At 39.5% G+C, this 23,252-nt stretch overlaps 1 protein-coding gene across 7 annotated transcripts in view; it reads left to right on the top strand.

Moving 5' to 3' along the window:
* The window catches only part of ADAMTS12 (ADAM metallopeptidase with thrombospondin type 1 motif 12), a 368,456-nt gene that overhangs the window by 243,265 nt on the left and 101,939 nt on the right, over positions 1-23,252 (top strand). For 3 of the 7 annotated variants that reach the window (NM_030955.4, XM_017009905.2, XM_017009906.1), the window contains 4 exons: positions 5,256-5,348; positions 6,771-6,916; positions 10,980-11,149; positions 17,813-17,946. In NM_030955.4, coding sequence (NP_112217.2) covers positions 5,256-5,348; positions 6,771-6,916; positions 10,980-11,149; positions 17,813-17,946 — 543 coding nt within the window. Of the gene's footprint in view, positions 1-5,255; positions 5,349-6,770; positions 6,917-10,979; positions 11,150-17,812; positions 17,954-19,019; positions 19,166-23,252 lie in introns of those variants that run through there. The other 4 variants (XM_017009907.1, NM_001324512.2, XM_017009908.1 and 1 more) reach the window with 4 other exon arrangements.

Below are 23,252 nucleotides of genomic sequence, written 5' to 3'. Positions count from 1 at the left end.
ACACAGAAATAGAAGCTTTATATTTAAGGCAAGGTGTGTCTGTAAGGGAAAACAATTAAGCTGGAATCACATGCCTTGACATTGCCACCTTGGTATTCTACGAAGCCTATATTCCATTGCAACTGGGTGGTGTTTGACACAGCTCCATAGTGATTTTCAGGATTCACAGTGATTCACACCTGCAGACTCCATAGCAACCAACTTAATCCCTAAAATTGCTCCCTTTCTTGAATTTCACATCTGGCTGAAGAGTACCAGCAGCTCCCAAGTTAGAAGTAGGATTTATTCACCAATTCATTCTTCTTGTTTATTTTCAACGTCCAAATAATAATTCAGGATTTGACACCGTACCTTCTGAAGAATCTGTAGCTCTGTTCTATCTTCTTCATTACCACTGTCACTGCCTCAATTCAGTCTCTCATCATCTTTCCTTGCTATCGTAATTATCTCCTACCTAGTCTCCCTCCTATTCAAATTGTTGCTCAAGTTATTTTTTAAAAACACAATGTAACCGTGGTCTACTCTGCTGTTAGGGTCCCCGCTGACCACAGGATAAAGTTCCACCTCCTTTTGAGGCAGTCCTTCGTGATTTGGAAATTGTCTACTCTCTGAACTCATCCCTTATAATGCAAAAGTATCTGTGTTAACACACACATATTGACGAGGCAAGTCTCGCTGAATCCCTGCCAGATTCTGTGCTATGTACAGAATAAGAAGAAAATATAAACACTCAAAAATTAATAAGACAAAGTCTCTGCCCTCGAGGAGCTCATGGTGGAGGAGGCAGGCATAAAAATTTTAATACAGTGAGATAAATTCAAAATGAAACAGAAAAAACTTAAAGGGGAAAGTAAATAACTGTGCTTAGACAGAACAAGCAAACTTAACAGAGAAGGTAAAGTTGATACAAAAATCCTCACCCCTCATTTCTAACTGGCTACCAAGTTATGCCAATTCTGCCTCCTAAATTTTTGTTTGTTTTTGTTTGTTTGTTTGAGACAGAGTCTTTCTCTATCGCCCAGGCTGGAGTGCAGTGGCATGATCTTGGCTCACTGCAACCTCTGCCTCCCCAGTTCAAGCAATTCTCGTACCTCAGCCTCCCAAGTAGCTGGGATTACGGGTATGCGCCAACAGGGCCAGCTAATTTTTGTATTTTCAGTAGAGATGGTGTTTCACCATATTGGTCAGGCTGGTCTCGAACTCCTGACTTCAGGTGATCCACCCGCCTTGGCCTCCCAAAGTGCTGGGATTACAAGAATGAACCACTGTGCCCAGCCTAAATATTTCTAAAATCCACCTGTTCCTAGATGACTATAGCAGTTCCCTGAATGGTAGAATCTGAACGCTTCCCCTCAACTCTGATTCATTTTCTAAAATGCAGCCTAAGTAACCTTTATAAATGGAAATCCATTTATAAATGGATTTATAAATACTTACTCCCCTGTGAGTAGAATATCTCATGGCCTTCCTATTTTCTTGCAATAAAGTACAAATTTCCTAAAATGGCTTAAGAAGAGGCTTCATAATTCGCTCTCCTCTTGCTCTCCGGCCTTATGTTTTAGAATATTGTTTTAGCCCTTCACTCTCTAATCTGCTACTGATTATATGTATATGGAATTTAATCACTAATCTTTCCTATCTGGGAAACCTCTCCTTCATATTTTCATCTCTTTGTGTCTCTGTATTTTATATCATGTATCTTTATCTTCTAGTTCACTAGTTCTCTCTTCAGATTTGTCCAATTATGCATATTTAACCTGTCTATTGACTTTTGAATCTCATTTATCATATTTTTATTTATAAAAGTCTATTTGGTTATTTTTCTGAATTTTCTCTCACTTTCATGGTATTTCTTTCCTAATTTTAAACTTTTGATGTAATCTTTTATTTCTTTAATAATATGTGACATATTTATTTTGCAATTTATACTGAGTAATTTCAGTGTTCAGAGTCTATGTGCATCTGTTTCTCCTGTTTGGGGTTTTTTTAACATATTACGTGTTATTTTGTTTTGTGATTTTTGCTTTTATTGTGAGCCTTTAGTTATAAAACTTTATGTCAGGTTTTCCTTTAGGGTTCAGATGGCTGGCACATTCTTTCACCGAAAATTTTCAGTTCTATCTCTGGGTCAATTTAAAATGTTACTGATTTGATGTTGTGTTGACTTCATGAGCAGCATGGGGGCGAGTGTGGTTACCAACTCTCAGGAGTAACATTTGACCACTCCTTCTAGAGTTAAAGTCAAATGAGACAAGTTTTCTGTGTACCTAGATTTCAGGTCACCCTTTCACTCAAGGCCTTATATGAAGGTCTCCAACTTCCTACCTTACATAGGCCCTACACATTGTCTCCAGTATCTAAGTGACTAATAAATCGAAGACCTAAGTAACTAGGTTTGCATCTCCAGATTAACATTTCTGCTACATTTTTAGCCTTTAGGGGGTTTCCTTACTTTCTTGGTGACTCAAGGATGCACTTAAAATATTTAAAATATATTATGCATGATTTTAGAAGATTTATAGAGGTAAGCGTTTTCCAGGGTATCCCATTGTTTACTAGAAACAGGACACCCAAGTTATCTCTGGTCAGCTCCTCTTTTGCAATCCATGTTTATCTGTCGTGAACAGCCTCCATTCTCTGAAAGTGCTGGGTTCTCCACAACCTCTAGAACCCTGCACAGTGGTTCCTTGGAACCATCCCTTCTGCTCATCATTTGAGCCTCAGCTTAAAAATTCTTTTATATCCTATCCTGAATTTCCTGTGTCAAAGCTTTATTAGACTATATTTTAGGTTTTTGTTTACTAGACTATCTCCTCTCCTACCATGTGAGCTCTGTGAGGAAATTTTTATCCCTGACACTCAGCAATGCCTAGCACATAGTAGGCACCCAACAGATAAGTGAATGAAGACTTCATATCTCTTTATATGGCAGCCAAGATAACCTCATCATTTTCCGTGTTAACAACACCCTAAAATACCAGAAAATGTAGCATTATCCATGTTATAACTTTTTATTTTGAGATAGTATAAACTCCAAAAAATTGAAAAAAATAGTACAAAGTTTCTGTGTACCATTCGCCTAGCACATCATCCTTTCTAAATGCTCAGTGAACTTAAAGTAAAAGAAATCCTCGGAAAGAAGGAAAAAAAATAAAAGGGGGAGTGATAAGCATGAACAGATATTGAGGCTGAAGTGGAGATAACAAAAGGGTTATGTGGGTTTTCACTTCCACGTTGGAAGAGACAATGATGTATTCTCCTTGACCAGGGCCAGGATTTAGAACTGAGACCTTTGCATGAAGCCGCGATTCTCAAAGAGTTGTGCTTCAATGAAAGGATGAGCTAGAAGAAATCAACCAAAAGGAAAGAGAGATGACAGAGAAGCATCTTTTATCTCAGCCTAGTTTCTAGTGGGGAAGTGGGGGGTGTGTGGAAATACTGGTGAATAACTTTCTCACTTGGAAATTCTTTACTACAGGCCATGCTCATGCTAATCTAGAGTTTAAATCTGTACCCCTTATAGCTTGAGTGCCTTCACGCAATAATAATAATAATAATAATAATAATAATAATAATAATAAATAAAGCATTTGTCCTGGAGATACCATGGATGCCTGGAAATAAAGGTGAAACTGGCCCAGAGGAACCAACACTCAACCAAGGTGGCATGAAACTCCAATAGATAAAGCCACCCTAGGCCGGGTACGGTGGCTTACGCCTGTAATCCCAGCACTTTGGGAGGCCAAGGTGGGCAGATCACGAGGTCAGGAGATCAAGACCATCCTGGCTAACACTGTGAAACCCCGTCTCTACTACAGATACAAAAAATTAGCCGGGCGTGGAGGCGGGTGTCTGCAGTCCCAGCTACTCAGTAGGTTGAGGCAGGAGAATGGCGTGAACCCAGGAGGCAGAGCTTGCAGTGAGCCGAGATGGCACCACTGCACTCCAGCCTGGATGACAGAGTGAGACTCTGTCAAAAAAAAAAAAGCCACCCTTCAGATGAGTTCATAATTCAGCCTCTAATTCAAAAATCTAATGTAGTCTATCTTCAGCTAAGTGAGCTGAAGCCCTTAAGAAGCCCTTAACAAGCCCTTAAGAACTTTCAAAAATTGAATTTTTATATAGGGATAATAAAATAAATATATAAGAATGAACTGTACATGAGAAAAAAGAACCAGAAGATATATGTAAGGCAGATATGAGGAAGAATAAATATAACTTCTGGAAATGGAAGGTGTGGTTATTGACTTAAAAATTCAGTGGATGGATTAAACAGCAGACTTGACATGGTTGAAAAGAAAATCAATCAAATGGAATTTAGAGCTGAGAAAATTACTTCCCTTCCCACTTGGGTGCTTCTTAGGGGTGTGTGATGGAGGAGAAAGTTTCTTCGGTTTTCATATACAACAAGATTGAGAGATGAGGAATATGAAAGTGAGGTTGAAACACAAAGTACAGAATAAGAAGGTCCATCAACAACAATTACGGGTTCCAAAAGGAGAGAAAGGAGAGGCAAAATTTAGAGAGAGAAAGATTGATAATTTTCTAAAATGGCTTAAAATATCAAGTCATATAATGAAAAAACACATGCAGTGTAGAACACAATAAGTGGATAGAACTATGGAAGATGAATAGACAGAAAAAAATACTGATAGATAGATGGAAGCAGCTAAGCCATTTCAGATGGCATCTGAGAATCCTGCCAACCTTCCTTTATCCCCATAAGGGTAGAAATAAGAAGGAATATGCAGCTCTCTTCCTGGAAACTGAAACCAGCTGACTACTTAAGGTAATAAGTGAACAAGCTGAGGCTTTCTAGATGGAAGAGTTTCCATTTTCTTCACTGAGCAGGCTCAAGTTATAACCACCCCCAACTGTTAGTAATCAGGTTGCCTTCCAGCCACAGTTTAGATTTACCTTTCATAGATGATCACCAGTTACCTTTCCCAAGAGCAATGAGGGCTGGATATTGTGCCAAACATATAGAAATGACCATCTCAACCCTTAGAAAATAGGTTTTATCCCTCATTTCCATATTACCTAGTATGATCTATAGACCATTGTTTATGAATGATGACAAAGTCCAAGTTAAGCTTGAACTGAAAACTCTAATGATTGCTTTCTGTCACTCTTAGTCACTAACAACAGTGGCATTTATTGTGAGTGTGTGGATGAGTGTGCATATTTTACTGTAACTATAGAAATGCTTTGTGGCAGGTTTTGAAAATACAAAAGAAGTGCAATTTGTTTTCTAGAACGTCTGCCAGACACTGTGGTGCTCCGTGAAGGGCTTTTGTCGCTCTAAGCTGGACGCTGCTGCAGATGGAACTCAATGTGGTGAGAAGAAGGTGATGCGTCAGGCCGAGGAATGAGGTGGGAGGGCGGTGGGCAGAGTTCTTGGGAGGAGCTGAGGAGAAGGCCCTAGAGGGCAACTCTCTCTAAGGGAAGAGCAGTGGATGGAGGTCAAACAGTCAGACCAGCCAGAGGAGATCACCCACATCCACCACTCCTGGTGAACCTGCTTTGGGAGCAGGTAGTTAAGGAGGGAGGGCTGAGGTCCAGTTTCACACTTCACTTGTAAAACATCTGTTTCATCTTTCCCTGATGAATTTCTATGGAGTTTGTGGTCAACATTTCCTAAGCTTATTATCAGCCTTCCTTTTGACTTTTTTTCTCTCATATGGAAGATTGAAAAGGATAAGCCAGCGGCTTCTTTTCCCAAAAATGCAGGATTTAGGCCACTTATCATCTTCTTTCTCATCTTCTGACATGACTGCATTTCTTGAAGTTCTGCTACTTTACTAAGCAGGCAAATCAGACACCACAGAACACAGAGAGGTTTGATATCCTCTAGGCTGGGTTCCTTGTGGGCCTAGAGCTTACATGTTTTGTGGGCATCTTTATGCAGCTTGAGTGTGGCAGGACCCCTCACTGAGATTACAGAACCCGGGCAAAATACACAGTGGCCAGAAAAAACACAAGAGGAAAAAAAGGATATCAGACAATAAAACATGTCCAAATCCTCCAGGAAATGTGGTTATTCACGACAACCACATAGCATTTCCCTTTGTTTTCATTTTTGTATATTTACTCTCCTAAACCGATAGTCGTGGAAGGATTGCCTTGAAGAGGGGAGAGAGTGGATTTTTTCTTAGTTGCTTGAAAGGCCAGAGCTGCAAACAATGGGTAGAGTTAAAAGAAAGTGTAATTTTTTTCTTGATGTAATGAAGAACTTCCTAACAGCTAGTGTGTTTTGGCAGTGAAATTGACTTTTTGCAGCGGATGAGTTCTCTGTTGCAGTCATTAAGTTCCCAGAGAGCTATAAAGAAGTGCTATTCGCTGTGCCAGTCTGTGAACTATTGTGGTTTGCAACAAGATAAGGATCATGCACCAGAAAGCAAATCAACTATGTTACTAAGCAACTATGTTGCTAAGCATACTAAGCTGACATGCTTTTCCTAACAAGACTTTCTCAATGAAAAAAGTAGTATGTTGATTTACATTCTCGTGCTCGATCTGCCAACCACACTGTGTAGCACCTGTGTGATTAGGCAACGTAAAGTTTCCTTCCATTCTTGAAACTCTCTGATTCTAAAACCCACGACTCTTGGCAGAAACTTATATGAGCCCCTGTTTGTTTTACATCTGATATGTGACTGTAGAAAGCCGGCTTGCTTGCAGAGAATTGGGTTTAGACTTTTAGGGCTCTTGGCTCAGCTTGCTCTGGTAACCTTCCTGATACGGCCATCTCCTGCCTCTTCCCTTTCCAGTGGTGTATGGCAGGCAAGTGCATCACAGTGGGGAAGAAACCAGAGAGCATTCCTGGAGGCTGGGGCCGCTGGTCACCCTGGTCCCACTGTTCCAGGACCTGTGGGGCTGGAGTCCAGAGCGCAGAGAGGCTCTGCAACAACCCCGAGTGAGTCCAGATAAATATATTTCCCTTCTCTCCACATGTGCTGGGGGCGGGATGGGGGGCAGTCTTGAATGGCATGACCTCAGTGACCCCAAGCCTCCTCCAGGTAAATTAAATGGGTTCCCAGGACAAAACAGAACAAGAAGATTCACAGAGAGTGGGGAAAAAAAGTGGTTCTGTTTTGTGTTGTTTCATTTCGGCTTGGCACTGGATTCTCACTAAAACTTGGATAAGTAAGCTGATTTTATCATTTGGGGAAATAAAGCAAATTTCTTTTAAATGTGCAATCTATGTGAAAGCCTCTAGGAGATTATACAATTAAATCTTTTTAAATAACTCAATTTTATCAGTAGAGATTAGTGAAACGCAATTTTGCTGATAAGATTGTAGCTTGCTTTCAATGATAATGAATACACAATTTTATGAGAATAATTCTTTCCTTAAGCAACTAGTAAAACAGGTACATTTTTGAGGACAATTATTTTTAATATTTTTCGATAAGGATTTTTATAAACCCTAAAGTTCCGCAGTGGCCTGTTAAGGATTCTGCAAATGTTATTTTACAAGTGACTTTCAATTGTTTAAGCAAATTGCTTAATTTTTCATATATTCTATTTGTATGATAATATTATATATGAGGTAAATTTAAACTTGCTTGTTTTCCAAATACACATTACATTCTTAATTTCATTATTTTCTGATATACTGTCTCCCAAGTAATTTCTTAAAAGTGTATATGTGATATCTCCTTTAAGTGGAAATTATATTGTTTCTTTTATCTAAATTTACATTCATCTACTTTGAAAAGTAGGAGTCACATTTTTTAAAAGGCGAGCAATAAAAGTGATTTTATCTCTCAATATCTCAATTCCAAAGGTTATTTATCCTTTTTGTTAATAACTGTATTACCTAGATGTATAGTATTTAAATATAAGTATATGTATATATGAATATATATGCATGTATACATTACATATATACATATATACACTATATATATTATATATTTTTTCTAAGGGTTAATAAGTTAGTATGTGTAAGGAATTTAACACAGTATCTACTACATAATAAAGTGTTAATAAATAGTAGTTATTATGAATCTTTATCATTTACCACATTTATAAGCATGCATTTGGAAATTCTTCACAAAATTATTTTAAAATTTCACCCTTTGATGAAAGTTGTTTTATTTAAGTACTGGGTTTCTGTGACTTTCAAAATTCAAAACCAAGAGTTTCTCATAGAGTATTTTGTTTTTAGAGAAAATTGTCATTTAATCGTTTGTTTCCATTTGATCCAGAAATGTGATTTCCATTTTCATTTGAGAGATCAGAAAAGAAAGGCAATTTGCTCTGGGACTTATTGTCAATGCTGTATATTCAGACACCACCAGTGTGAAAGTTCTTGGCAGGTTGGTCAGTGACTTGTGGCTATCAGAGAAGGGAACTCCTAGTTGAGGAGGTGAAGGATGAATCTCTAACCTGGCTTCAGGAGAAAGGTAGTTCTAATTCTCATCTCCAAGGCCACAGTTTGTCATAGAGTCTCTTTGGGTGAGTGGACATGCCTGTTCTTCATTGCCGGTTTGCTTAAATTCATTGCTAACACTGCCAATGGCACCGCATCATAGATTTGGATCTGTGGTTCAAGTCACAGATTCAGGCCAGTGCATGAGCCAGCTGATCTTGGGACTGCATCCTTGCTGTAGGTCAACTGTCTAGTGAGAACCCAGCAGAGCTCGGCTCATAAGAGGCTGTCAGTGATATTGATTGGATGGAAATGAATTGGAGACATACCAGGTCATAGAGTGTCCCTGCATCAGCACAAATAGAAAACCAGCCTCACCTTAAATAACAAGGACAATTCTTGGTACCTCCTAAAGGGAATCAACAAATTAAGAGCCTACTATGTGAACTGCCTTGGTCAAAACTCTTTCATGAGTGAGGAACAGAAGCTTACTCAGGCCACATTGAGGGAGGGGAGGTATAGAAAATCTCATGGGCATTCAAGGAGAACAAAGTACAGCAGAATCAACAAGAATTACAGCTGCAACCAGTACTTGACTAGACTGCCAGGATTTGAGTTCTCTGTCTCTCAGGATTTTGTGGTCAGGCAGTGTAACATAGTGGATAAGAGCTCAGGCTTTGGATCAAGGAAGACGACGATTCAAGTCTTGGCTTTGCCACTACCACCTGTGTCCTTTGGGGAGCTGTTCTAGCTTTCTGTGTCCCTGGAATACGATTTCATCTGGACTGCTCGCTCGACATGCCTTCTGCCTTTGCACTGAGAAGGACTTTCCAGTCGTCCTTTAAGACCATTCTCCAGGACAAGCCCTTCCGTAAATCCTTCCCAACTAGCCTCATTTCCATGGCTTTCCCCTTCACATAACTCTCATTGTACTTTCAGTCTGGGATACATAATTGCTGTCTTAAATTTTCTCTCATTTCTTATATAGCTCATTTTTTTCTCCTCAACCAAATTATAAACTTCTAGGAAGCATAGAGCATGGGTTGACCTTCATTTGCACTCTCTTCTCCCTGAACAGTGTTGAGCACATGGTAGTATATAAATGCTGGTTGATTATTATTCACGATAACCAAAAAAAATGCTCTCAGTTATTGATCTCTCATTCTGTGTTAGTTACTCTACTAAATCTGTGTGTGCATTGTCTCATGCAATACAACTTGTGAGATAAAAACTATTATGCTCATTTTACAAACGAAAAAAAACTGAGGCTCAGAGAAATGAGGTAACTTATTCAGATCCATCTAACAAAAAGATAATACCAAATTCGAACTCCAGGCTATTGGCACTCCTGCGATAGGAGGCACACTCCCTGATTCAGATACTGCAGCAAGATGGAGACCAGAAGGCATGCCTGGGAACCTTCTCAAAGGATAGTTTCTTCACGTCTCCCCTCTCCCATTTTGAGAGACCCATTGATCCTGACAGGAAGGCTGGTATGCCCTCAGGTGTATCACAAAGGAAAGAAAAATCAAAAAGTGATTTTTCTAAAATAAGATTAACTTATTCACCCATTGAATATCTATTAAGAGCCTCCTATGCCCAAAGTACTGTGAGGCACCACAGAGGACACAGAGCTTGGATTGTGCCATCAAAGAACTATCTTTGGGAATGATAGATTCAGGACGTGCAGGCAGCTGGCACACAAAGTGTCACTGAAGAGGAGAAAAAAATTACTGCTGGTGGAAATCCAGGAAGGATTCGTGAAGGAGGTAGCATTTATTTAGTTCTTCAAGCATGAGCAGTATGTAGACATGTGGAGACTTTAAGGGAGGAAAAAAATCTATCCAAATGCACAGAAAAGAAATATTAAATAAGGCAGGTGGCACCACTGGAGCAGTGTAACATGAAGCAGAGTGTGGGAAGTAAATTGTTAAGGTGAGTTAAGGCAGGATTGTGAGAGCTTTGAATGCCAAGCTCAGGAGGCTGATGTGACCATTGGATGCTGTTAGTGATTTTAAAACAGGGAACTAAAATAATTAAGGTCATCTGAAAATTTAGCCTGATAATTGTTTGTACTGTGGGTTCAATTTTAAAAGTAGAGATAGAAATGGAGATAAGAATTTTAAAAGTAGAGATAGGAATGGAGATAAGAATTGGACTGGTTTGATTATTGCAGAGTTGAAGAGTAGGAAACAAATGTAAATAGGCAACTGATGACCAGGCAACTGATTGACTGTGGGATCCAAGGAAGGCACAGATGGATGATTCTGAAATCTGACCACTTTTAACTCACCAAATAGGAATCAGAGAAGGAGCATACTCGAAAGGAAAATGATGTATCCTTTTTTGGCGTAGATTTCACCTGGAGGATATACAGGTGGAAATGATATATAAACTATTTCAAAATAAGCTACTATACACTTAGGACTGAAATGTTGTCAGGCAAGGAAAAAATGTGTAAAATTTGAAGCAGTTATTTAAAAGGTAAGTTTTGAGGGCATAGAGAGACATCATTTGTCAAGGCCAGATACCAGAGGAGTTTTAAAGGAAAGTGCTGGCGTTGAAGCAAACTAAAAGAAAAGCTTGTCTGTTTCATTTGCAGGCCAAAGTTTGGAGGGAAATATTGCACTGGAGAAAGAAAACGCTATCGCTTGTGCAACGTCCACCCCTGTCGCTCAGAGGCACCAACATTTCGGCAGATGCAGTGCAGTGAATTTGACACTGTTCCCTACAAGAATGAACTCTACCACTGGTTTCCCATTTTTAACCCAGGTAAGGAGCTGTAATGGTGTATCTCAGATCTAGGGAACAGCCATTCTCAAAGCATTTGTATGTCAGTCAGGGTTTCTGTGATCCACACAAAGCTTAACAAAGACAATTGTACACCAGGAATTTTGTAATTTAGAAGATGGAAACACTGACCTGGTTAAGTTGATCAGTAAATGTTGAAGGCTGAATACATTCAACTCTGTCTGAGCTTTGTGGGAGATAAAAGAAGTTTATAAAACATGGTGACTTGCTTCAAAACAGCTGAGGTGCAATTGAGCCATTAATAGGACATGTAGGAATTCAGTAACTAATTGCTTGTTGATGGACATGAGAAACTGACTGTGATTTCGTCAGAAATTCCGAAGAAAAGGTCATTGTGGGTTTGAAGTAATTGCAAAAAAAAGGCTTCCAGTGAAGCAGTTGATGATTCTTAAGACTACTTATGCTTTCATGAGCAGTCTTTCCACAAGAAGAAAGAAAAGGGAAGACATTCAAAATAGAGTCATTCCAAGTGGGAGTAGAATAACAGGCGGAAAGGCAAGATAATAGGAATGAAAGAACAAAAGCCAGCTCTGCAACAGAAGTCAACATTTTATATGTACTGGAGTATGAGAAGGGTGAAAAGTAAAATCAAACATCTGAATGTTGCACAGGAGGGATGGGGACATAATGGAGTTGGAGAATGGAATAGCGGCCTTGGCAAAACGTCCAGACACATTCTCTCCTTAAAATGAAGAAGAATCAATGACCGTTAGCTAGACATCAACATCAAAAAACATATTTGTGTTGTTTGTTGTTATCTGAGTAGGAAATGAAACAGAAAAGATTTTCCTGTGTTAAAGAAATTTAAGGCAAGGTAGTAAAAAATAGCTAATCAAATTTTTCATGATTTTTGAGTTCCAGAAAATCCATTGTGAATAGGGCACAAGAAAAATCACAGATTTGAGAATTGTGTATTTGGGCTGTTAGAACAATGACTTATGCAATAGCTTTTGAAAGAAAGACTCTGCAGTGGTTTGCTCAGCTCAGGTCTCCAAAATACCCTGATGCTCTTAGTTGTCAAGGGCAGTGATTGCTCCTTGCCCCCAATCGTTTGGTGTCATTTATGATCTAGAGGGGAAAACCATTTGGTTATTGGTGCAATTTAGTTTCCTGAGTCAGGCATTTGAATACAGGAAAACTCAGACATATACTCAGGTGTACTCCAAAATTATCAAGTGATGAAAGGTGCATCCAGCCAGTGCTATCTATGTGTATATCCTGCGCATTCTTGATTTGTTAAAACTATTTGGGTCAGTGGTCCTGTAGACTCTGAATGAGCAGCCTGTCAGAGCTAAGATAGCATAGCTGCTCCAGTGATATCACATGTGCTTAGTACGGGATCCCCCTCCCAGATATACAGTTGGATTTGTGTCTATCTAACCCTGATGGCTCAAGTAGCTGGACTTAGAATAAAAATATTTGATTCAGCATTGCTTTTCATTTGTTTGCAAGCATTCATCATGTGCCTACTTTTTGACTAGCAAAGCAATAGGTACTAAAGAAGTGAGCGTTATACAAGTTGACATCAATTCCACTCACTCTGGAGTGATTGATTTGCTTCTCTAACTCAGATGAAGTTTGCCACCTGCTGACCTTACTCCCTACCCAGTCTATCAGTATTCATCCTCTATCCCGGTAGTTTCTTTACAGATTCCTATGCTATTATTTTCATTAGCAGACAATGACTTATCTGCTAACCTGAATAGCTACTACCTTGAACAGCACACTGATGACTTTCCCCATTATACTCTGTCTACAGAGTTGCTATTTGCTTAGTTAACAGGCATCCCTGCCAGTAGGTCGTTCATGTCAACAAGGATTTATGCAGCATTTTTTCTGTGCCAGATATCGAGGGCCTTACAGCCTCCCAGGCATCCTTTTAGAAATCACCAGAGGATAAAATAAACATACAGCAGAGTTTTCTACCCCCTCAGTGGACAGTGATACTTCCCACAGCACTTTATATGCTTTTTCCTAATTTTATCTCCACAAGAAAACCCTTCAAGGAGAGCTGTTTTTGACCCAATTTTTAGAGATAAGCTAATAGGTTCGGAGGACCTCTGTAACTTGCCCAAATTCAGACTATGAAATAGAACCAAGAGTTAGCCCATGCCTGACTCTGCAGCCTCATCATTAAGCACGAAAACACACAGGGACTGGGTTAAGTTCATTTCCTTAAGACCAATGCACTGAATTTTGAATTTTCCCTAAGGCAATGTTCATGTCTTTAAAACCTTCGATTATTTCGTAAGCCAGGAGCTCTGCTAGAAAACCCAACAACCCTTTTTATTATGATTAAGGCTCAGTTTATTAAACCTATATATCTTGCCCTTGAGAACCAGTGTTTTCTAAACATTTAAGCATTGATGACTAATTATTACATTGCTTAAATAATTTAAGTTGTGATTCTAAGTTTACCTCTTAAGCATCTTAACCAAAAGACAGAACTTAAAACTACACGGTAAATAGAAAACTCATTACTGCACTTACCCTAATATAATACATCAATACAGCCAGGCATAGTGGTGCACCCCTGTAATCCGAACTAGTCAGGAGGGTGGGGCGGGAGGATCGCTTCATCACAGAAGTTTAAGGCTGTAATGACCTATGATTGCACCACCTCACTCCAGCCTGGGTGACAGAGTAAGACCCTGCCTCTACAGAAAAATTTTAAAAATAAAATATAAAATAAAGAGAAAACATCAATGACAAGGGTTTAATTCATTTTAAAAAATTATTTCTACTTTTGTTTTTATACCTTTCTGTGGTTACTATAGAATATATTCATTTTAATGCCTTCTTATATTTCACTAATACATATTTCTATGTATTGTGGGGATTACAATAAGATTATAGTATTAGAAAGTACAAGAATACCATTTTAGACTAGCCAAAGGTTTCAAACTCTTGGTAATGACTGATTTTGGGCTGTGATACAGAGTGACAAGTTTTCATTTTTGCTTTTTCCTCCAAGCTGATTTGATTTTAATTCTTAGCTGAGCTTCCTTTTTAAGTTAAACGTAACTTCTTGCATCAATAAAACATTTTAAGTTATGCCTTTTGCTTTGGGGTTTAGTATTTCTTGGGATCTGTTGAGGAGTGGCAGGGGTGCACACCACAGATCCCTTCTCTTCATGTGCACACCGCCTTCCCGTTTTGGCCTTCCCTTACCGAACACAAGTTCAAAGGTAAAATGTTTAAGAATTGCAAGACAGAGACAATAGCATTCAACCAAGTGTGAGGTCCTGGGTAAAAGCACCGGTCTAATGCCCACGAAGCCCTGCCTGTGAATGGATTTTAGAAACTGGATTCTTTAAAATGATGAAACTCACTTTCCAGTCTATTCACAAAACACGAAATGCATCAAAACTTTTCCTTACCTAAGAAATATTTTCATTCTTTTTAGCAAGTTAGAGCTTTCATTTCTGTCATTTATTAAGATCATTATCCAAAAATGTTGAGCCACCCTGTTTCTGCAAAATTGAAAATGCAAACTTTGATTCGGTAAGTTCATCTCTTTTCCTAAGCTCCCTTTGAGAGGATTAATCAGAGAGTGTGAGGGTGAGAGTTCACTAGTAAATTAGTTTTAGAGCTTTTGCTTAGGTGAATTATAAATGGACTTGAAAGCTTTTGAAAGCTAGAGGGAAAAAAAATCACATGACCCTAAAAAAGGATGTGTCAGGGCAGGGGAGTAAATGTGAGACAAGGAAAGTACTCAACTCTGTAGAGATGATGGACTCAACAAGGTTGATGTCCGGCACAGAGAATCTCTGATACCAGTGATGACTCCCAAGAATTAAGACCATCCATTACCACCCTTGCCTCCTCCTGCAGATCCCTGTGCCACAGGACAACTTAATGATATAACCACAGCCCTTCCAGAGCACCATGAAAGACAAAGGCCAGAGAAGGAGGGGACAGAGGAGGACTTCAGGCTCAGCCTTATAAAAGCCTTGAATAGCACTGAACCTTCCATTTAGGATGACTGCTTTCAAACATAGGCCTGAGGCACACCTATAGGTCATGGTGGTGGGAGCTCTGGGAGAGTTGCAGCAGAGGACCTGTATGCTGTCATTGTTGTTATTATAAATGTTATTTCCTGGATAATTTCTAAGACTCCATAAACCACTATACTTATAGTCAACACACATGTGTGTTTCTTGTAGGCAGTGTACTTCAGTTAACCTGTCTAGCCTTGAAGAATGTACTAGTCCTGTGTTGTGGAAACAGGATGAAGGGAAGTTTTGAAATTAGAGACTCTCTTTATGGTGATGTGTCATGAATATCACTGGGGAAAGAAGACTTTTCCAGTTTTCCTATTTGAGGGCCAAGACTTATTATTTTTAAAAGGAATATATGTGTCTTATAAAAATGCAAGTGCATATAGTAGAATGAAACAGAAATGAATTCCTATTATCCCACTGCATTTAATGTATTCCTCCAAGATAACCATGCTAACAGCAGGTTTTCATTTGCACACAAATAGAACCATAATTTGCCAGTTCTGCAACTTGATGCACTGAGTAGATCATGGCATCATGGTTTACCTCATTCCTTTTAGTGACTGCATAGCAGTCCATTATGTAAATGCGACTTAGTGAATCTGTCCGTTTCTCTCTGAATAAACATTCCGTTGCCGCAATGAACATGCTCTGGTCCCAACTCTTCCCAGCAGCCTTGAAACAGATGATTCCTTAGAAAAGCTCCAGAATTATTCAGGGCCGCTTTCTATTTTTGCTTTATGTATTCCAAATACAAAATCCCAAATCCAATTCTAAAGTTTAAACCAAAGTCTTAATAAAATAATCCTTGGATTCAGCACCTGGATTGATGTTCTCATCCTTAGGAGAATAGAATTGTTCCCAGGTTGCTCCCTTTAGTACTTCTATTCCAGTTTGCGCAGTAACAGAGCTAATCGTGCTACCAGAAATGGAGCTACACAATAATCCCAAGTCACGCTTTGTCCCAGAGTCTTGACACTTTTCCCCTGGCTGTTTATCCAATGATCTCTTCAACTCATTTTGAGTCTATCTGGTCAGACAGCTTATCCACTGCACCTTATATGAAATCAGTTGGTTTTCTTTATTTACATATTTGCTTTTATCTTTCTCTTTTAAGCTTTTTTGTTTGTTTGTTTGTTTTTGGATTCAGGGAGCACATGTGCTTGTTTGTTACCTGGGTATTACACGCATAATGGTAGGGATTGGGGTTCTAGTGTACCTAGCACCCAAATATTGAACACTGTACCCAATAGGTAATTTTTCAACCCTCAAACTCCTTCCACCCTCCTTACTTTTGGAGTCCCCAGAGTCTATCTCCATCTTTATCTCTATGGGTATCCAATGTTTAGCTCTCAATTAAAAGTGAGAACATGTGTTATCTAACTTTCTGCTTCTGAACTAGTTCACTTATCTCTTTTAAGCTTTAAACATGTTTTTGACCTCAGTCTCAAGTTTGTTCAGCATTTCAGCATTTGGAGCTTTTGCTCATGGTTACATTTGTGTGAAATTTGCACTTTCATTTCCTGGCCACATGAATCACTGCAACCTCAAGCAGACAGAGCCATCACTGTGCACTCAGGCTTGGCATTTGGTGCCCAGCCCAGTGAGAAGGGCCCATGACGAATAGCCTTATGGCTGGTACCATTGAGTCCTCAGCTGATCACACAATGAAGGAACTAACAGCCCTGCCCATAATAAACACATCCAGAAGAGACCCCAAAATCCCTGCCAAAGAAGACATTATTGTGTTTTTCACTAAAGAAAAGCATTCATTACATTCATTAAAAAATTATTATTTGAATTCTTCTTATCATATACATGTATTCACTATTAAAATTTTTAAGGCAATCTGTGATTTAAATGTTATCTATCTTTCTGGTTATTCTGTATACATACATATGGGTATGCATTTTATTATGTAAATGTTCCTGTGCTCTAGATCACCCTATCTTCATTCACAATGGAGTAGAAAACTGAACCTTAGAATGGATTCAGTGTAGGACCAAGATGATGGGATGGATCACTATGATAAGCAGGTTGGCTTCAGCTTCAACAAAAAAAATGTTTCTACATGGTTGTCAATCTAAGCACCTCTTAGACTGGAGGAGGATATTTGTTGGGGCAGGATTATGCTGGTGGTGATGGAGGTTGTGGTAGTAATGAGCTGGCTCTGTGGGAGGGGATGCCTGTCCCCTGGAGGTCTACTTACTTTGCTGCAAGAAACAAGCAGGCATCCCGCTTGCCTGGAGTCCTTCATGGCTGGTTGCAATAACTTATTTTCTAAGCTAACCCCAGATGCCCAGTGCCTTATTTTTATAAGCACAATTCAATGTTGAATAGAAAGAAGTCATTGTTTACAGCAAAGCATAGAGTATTTTAAAGCAACCTTTTAATTTAATTCATTATGAAACTTGTTTTGAAAAAGGAAAAATAATCCTTGGATTCAGCACCTGGATGTGTGAAATGTGTCTTGAGGCATATTTCAGCATGTGTCTCAAGGAGGTGAAAAGGTGGGATTGCCAGAGTAAATGACACTTGGGGGTCCTAAGTACGGAGGAATCCTGGGGGAGGATGCTGAGCTAAAAGCTAATTTGCAAGGCTTTGCCTTCTTTTTTCCCTTCAGCACATCCTTGTGAGCTCTACTGCCGACCCATAGATGGCCAGTTTTCTGAGAAAATGCTGGATGCTGTCATTGATGGTACCCCTTGCTTTGAAGGCGGCAACAGCAGAAATGTCTGTATTAATGGCATATGTAAGGTATTGGGTATGTTTCCTTAATCTACAACTTTATAAAATCATGACTTTTACTAATTTGGGAAGTCAGATGTTCTAGGTTTGTGCTTTCACAGCATTTACACCTCATCTGTTTTTTATATATAGTTCATGAAACGAAAAGATAAGACTTCCCAGTGTTCATCAAAGTCACAGTTTTGGATTGAATAGTTTTTTCCTTCTGCCGTCATCTTCATTTCTTGATTAGTTGATGTGCACTACGATATTGTTTTAGACATTGAGCATGAAAAAGAGGAATTATCAGGAAAACCCAGCCCAGATTATTTCAGTGGCATTAAATTTGAGAAAAACTGAAATTAATAATAGTTTCTATGGTACTTTTCATAATGCATTTTCACATTTAATTCTCCATTGACTATCAACATGAGCTTCTCAGAGAGACGGCATGACAATAGTTACAAAACACGTTTCTGATTTCTATGTAATTTTTCCACACTCACTTCATTAATCAAGTCTATATAAATTATTTAGACCTGATGTGTTGATGCTTTTAAGTGTGTAACCATTAAAGAATTCCTTGTTGCTGCTTGCATTTTATTTTGCAAGGAACTGAGGAGCAGGACTTGTGATCCAACCCCCAGGCATAAATCTCAGTTTAAAGAGAAAGTGTTTTTAATTGGTTAAAGGAAGATGTTTTAATCAGTTAGTGAATCATAATGGTTTAGCACTGGGGTTTTAGAATATGAACTCAACACCATCATTTACTAGTTGTATGATCCTATACATCTTTCTAAGACTCAGTCTTCTGTCATAAAACTGGGATATTTTTATGTATCTGCCTAGGTGGGGTTGTCAAAAGATTAAATAAGGTCAGTTAACCTAAATAACAGACAGAGAGAAGCTCTCTAAAAGAAAATGAAGCTTATTTGGGAATAGTGCATTGCAATGGGAATATGTATGCCACAGTTAACTATGTGCATATTTAGGAAGGTAAAGGAAGACAAGGGTTTTTAAAAGAAAATGAAAATTTTTAAAGGAAAGAAGTTGAAGAGAATTGCAAAATTGTTTTTAAATAATTATTATTTCCTGCAGAGATCAATAACAAGGGTGACGCCAATCCAAGGTTGCTCAGGAAGTTGCTGGGCAGATGTCATTGCAAAAGTATTCTTTGTGTAAGGTTGTGATAGCCTTTGTGCAAGGTTGTGGTGTTTGCAGAGGCTTTTTCATCATCAGGCATACAAGGGTGAGAACTCATTCTTCCTAGCCTTCCCTGGCTATATTTATCAGGGTTTTTTCTTAACATTAGTTGCTCCATTTTGATTCTGACAACTTTCACAGGTAATATATGTTAAGCTCTTAACAGAGGCCCTGGTGTAAAATGAACTCTTAGAAAACAGATTTGTAAACTCAACAAATTTTGTTTTTTAAAAATATTTATAATATGTTTTTCCACTGGACAAAATTATTCCCTGTGACAAGCTCTTGCCCCTAAATATTCAGCACTCTGAGAAGTTTCATATTTATCTATACAGTTGCTTTTTCATTTATTTTATTCAAGGCACCTGTTTTCCATCACAGGCTAAAGATGCTATTTCTCTCAATGCAAAGGTATTTAGATCTAAAAGATAATTTCAGCATCACATTCACTCCTCAGTGACTAAAGTCCTCAGCCCTAGCTGCATATAATAATCACCAGGGGAGATTTTAAAACATCAATGCCCAGACTCCACATCCCAGAGATCCCGAATTAATAGGTTTGAAATAGAGCCCAGACATCAGTAATTTCTAAAAGCTCTCCAGGCATTCTAATAAGTAGCCAGGATTGAGAACCATTATAAGTTGGATGTCTTTCTTGAGGCCAATCAAGTGAACCCAATAGAATAAGCCAGATTTTATCAGCCTGCCTTACTCTTTGTGGGAGCCAGTTAAGACCTTTTAGAAGCTATAATTACCCACTTTCTGTCTATAGCACACTGGTTTGAGTTTTTAAGCTGAAAAAATGGTGTCAAATCAAATATGCTTAATAGCCTAAATACTTTATCTTCAAGGATCCAGGTTGTAGGTAATTCCAGGCTCCTTATTTGTTAGTCTTATTGTTACTCTCCTATTCATTTACTAGTTTTTTCAAAGGGGATTGAGCATGTATTACATAAAAGTATATGCTTTCAGGAAAACAATGTATGCAGTGTTTGTCTAATCTGCATTCGTTGTGAATATGAAAACTTGGTTGCTTATATTCATGTCTATTTTGAATTTACAATATTTGCCAATATTTTGGTATGTTAGAGTTGCAGATTCTATTGTCAAGGAAATTATCAAGCCCTGATCAGAACTGAATTTGTTCTGGGAGGTAACTATCTGTGCCCTTCCCCCTAGTTTTTTTTAGTAAGCTTGTTTATCAAAGATATAGATTTAAACTTTGACTTTTCAGGACACCTTCTGTTTTAAATTACCAGGATGACATAGAATAAGCTTTTAAAAATGAGCAAATGCCCTACTCACCTCCACCCACTTCCAGCTCTGAACTCTCACTCTCATACCCACTGTCTGAGGCCAGCTCGCTAACCTTCCAGCTCTCTCCCCTCTTTCTCCTGGTAACCAGTTGGTTGACTTCAGCTCCTGGACTCCTCCGTCTTCACACAGTCAGCATAACGTTGGCTGAATTTCCTTCTAAAATAGACCAGATGCCCTGGTCTATCCATCAGCTGCTCCCTAACTTTCTCTTAGCCTTCCCCCAATCTGTTACACCAGTTCTGGATAAGGTTCTGGATCAACCCCATCACACCCCTTTTTTGATCTTACCATTAGCCTACTGTGCACTCCTTAAAATAAAAATTCAACGTTATGCATGTGTCCTTACAAAGTCAATGTCTTCAATCCACCTAAGCTTTTATCCTTACCTGACAATCTTCCCACTGTCCCAAGTTAGCTTCCTCACTCATTTCTCTCAAAAACTCTTTTGAACCTTCTTTCATCTCCAAGGCCATTTTGGCCATCTCAGTGATACACTAAACATCCCTAAATCAATTGCTCAGAGCTAGATCTACGTTCAGAATACCAGGTCCTATCTCCTGACCCTCAAAAGCCTGAGAGTTACTCCAATCTTAACATTTCTAAATTAAAATTATACCTAATTCTTGCCCCAACCTGTTCTTCTATAGCACTTCTTTTTGGAATGATGCTAAAACCATTTAGGTTTACTGATATCTAGGCCAGAAATCAGTAAGTCATTCTTGAGTCTTTCTCAACTCTCCTCTCACAGTTAATTACTCACTATACCACCACCACTACCACCACCACCATCATCACCATCACCCCATATCACCACCACCAACACCACCACTGCTGCCATCACCACCACCATATCCACCACCATTATCACCCAACCATCACCACTACATCATCGCCACCACTACTCCCACCACCACCATCAACACCACCACCATCACCACCATCACTACCATCACTTCCATCACCCAACCATCCCCACCACCATCATCAAATCAACACCACCACTACCACATAACCACCACTACCTCTACCTCCACCACCACCACCACCACCATCACTCCACCATCTCCACCACCACTACCACCATCACCCCACCATCACCACCACCTCATCACTACCTCCATTACCACATAGTCACCACGACCACCACCACCACCACCACATCACCACCACCACCACCACAACCATCATCACCACCACCACCACTACCACCACCATCAAATCACCACCACCATTACCACATCACCACCACCACCATCATCAAATCACCACTACCCTACTGCATCACCACCACCATTACCATCAAATCATCATTACCACTACCACATAACCACCACCACCATCAGCAAATCATCATTACTACTACCACATCACCACCACTACCATCACCACCATCAAATCACCATCACCACCGCTATCACTACCACCATCAAATCACCACCACCATTACCACATCACCACCACCACCATCGTCAAATCACCACTACCCTACCGCATCACCACCACCACCATCATCAAATCATCACCATCACTACCACATCACCACCACCACCACCATTACCATCAAATCACTACCCCCACTACCACATCACCACCACTACCACTACCACCATCAAATCACCACCACCATTACCACATCACCACCAACACCATCATCAAATCACCACCACCGTCACCTCACCACCACCACCACCATCATTACCATTAAATCACCACCACCATCACATCACCACCACCACCACCATCATTACCATTAAATCACCACCACCATTACCACATTACCACCACTACCATCAAATGACCACCACCACTACCACATCACCACCACCACCATTATTACCATCAAATCACTACCATCACTACCACATCACCACTATCACCATCACCCCCACCACCATCACCACTACCATCACCCCCATCACCACCACCACCATCACATCACCACCACTACTACCACATCACCACCATCATCACTGCCACCATTACCCCGCAGCACCATCACTGTCACCACCACCACCCCCACCACTACCACCATCCTGCCCCCCACCATTATTGTCCATCACCATCGCCACTACTCCATCACCACTATTATCACCACCTTCACCATCATTACCACCACTACCATCACTGTTCCCACCACCATTGTAATTGATGGTAAGATGGGAAATCAAAGTGATTTTTTTTCACAAACACACTACCTATTGGGGTGATTGCCTGGCATATTCAGAGTCACATCAGAAAAGGGCCATGCTGAAGTCATTTTCCACATAGGGTAGCAGCAGTGGAACCACCTCTGATTCTGCTGAAGGCAGAAAGAGCATACTGTTGTGGGCTTTCTGTGTTGCCAGAGCATGTTATGAAGAAGAGTGAGGTTTGTTTCTTTTCCCCTGAGAGCTCCTTATGTTTTATATGCAACAAGGAGGACTGGTTTATGTCTTCATAGACCTTTTGTTGCATACTTAATTCAGTTTTTATTGTACTGCATGCAGCTCACAGGAAAACTAAATTGGGTGAGTCTCTGCAAGAACCCATTTAATATGCTGTGGGACAGAATGTTGGGGACATGGGTGTGTCTCCTTCCCCCAACCCTTGTCTCTCAGTTATGCAGGCAAATATTACTTTAGAAATATAAAACTACCCATTCAAGAAAAAAGACTTGGGCTTCAGATGTTTGCTTTTCTGACTTTCTTTCCTTTATTCTTCACATTTTTTATATCTATTTCCCTGTTGGTAGAGATTAAAGAAAATACTTTAAAATTAATATGCCTCAGAGTCAATCTCCATAGCTCATTCTAAATCAGTGAAGGAATGAAGGCCAC

The sequence above is a fragment of the Homo sapiens genome, chromosome 5 (assembly GCF_000001405.40).
Source record: "Homo sapiens chromosome 5, GRCh38.p14 Primary Assembly".
In the NCBI taxonomy this organism is placed as follows: domain Eukaryota; kingdom Metazoa; phylum Chordata; class Mammalia; order Primates; family Hominidae; genus Homo; species Homo sapiens.
The sequence above is the reverse complement of the archived record's forward strand: the minus strand, read 5'-3'. Positions and strand labels throughout refer to the sequence as shown.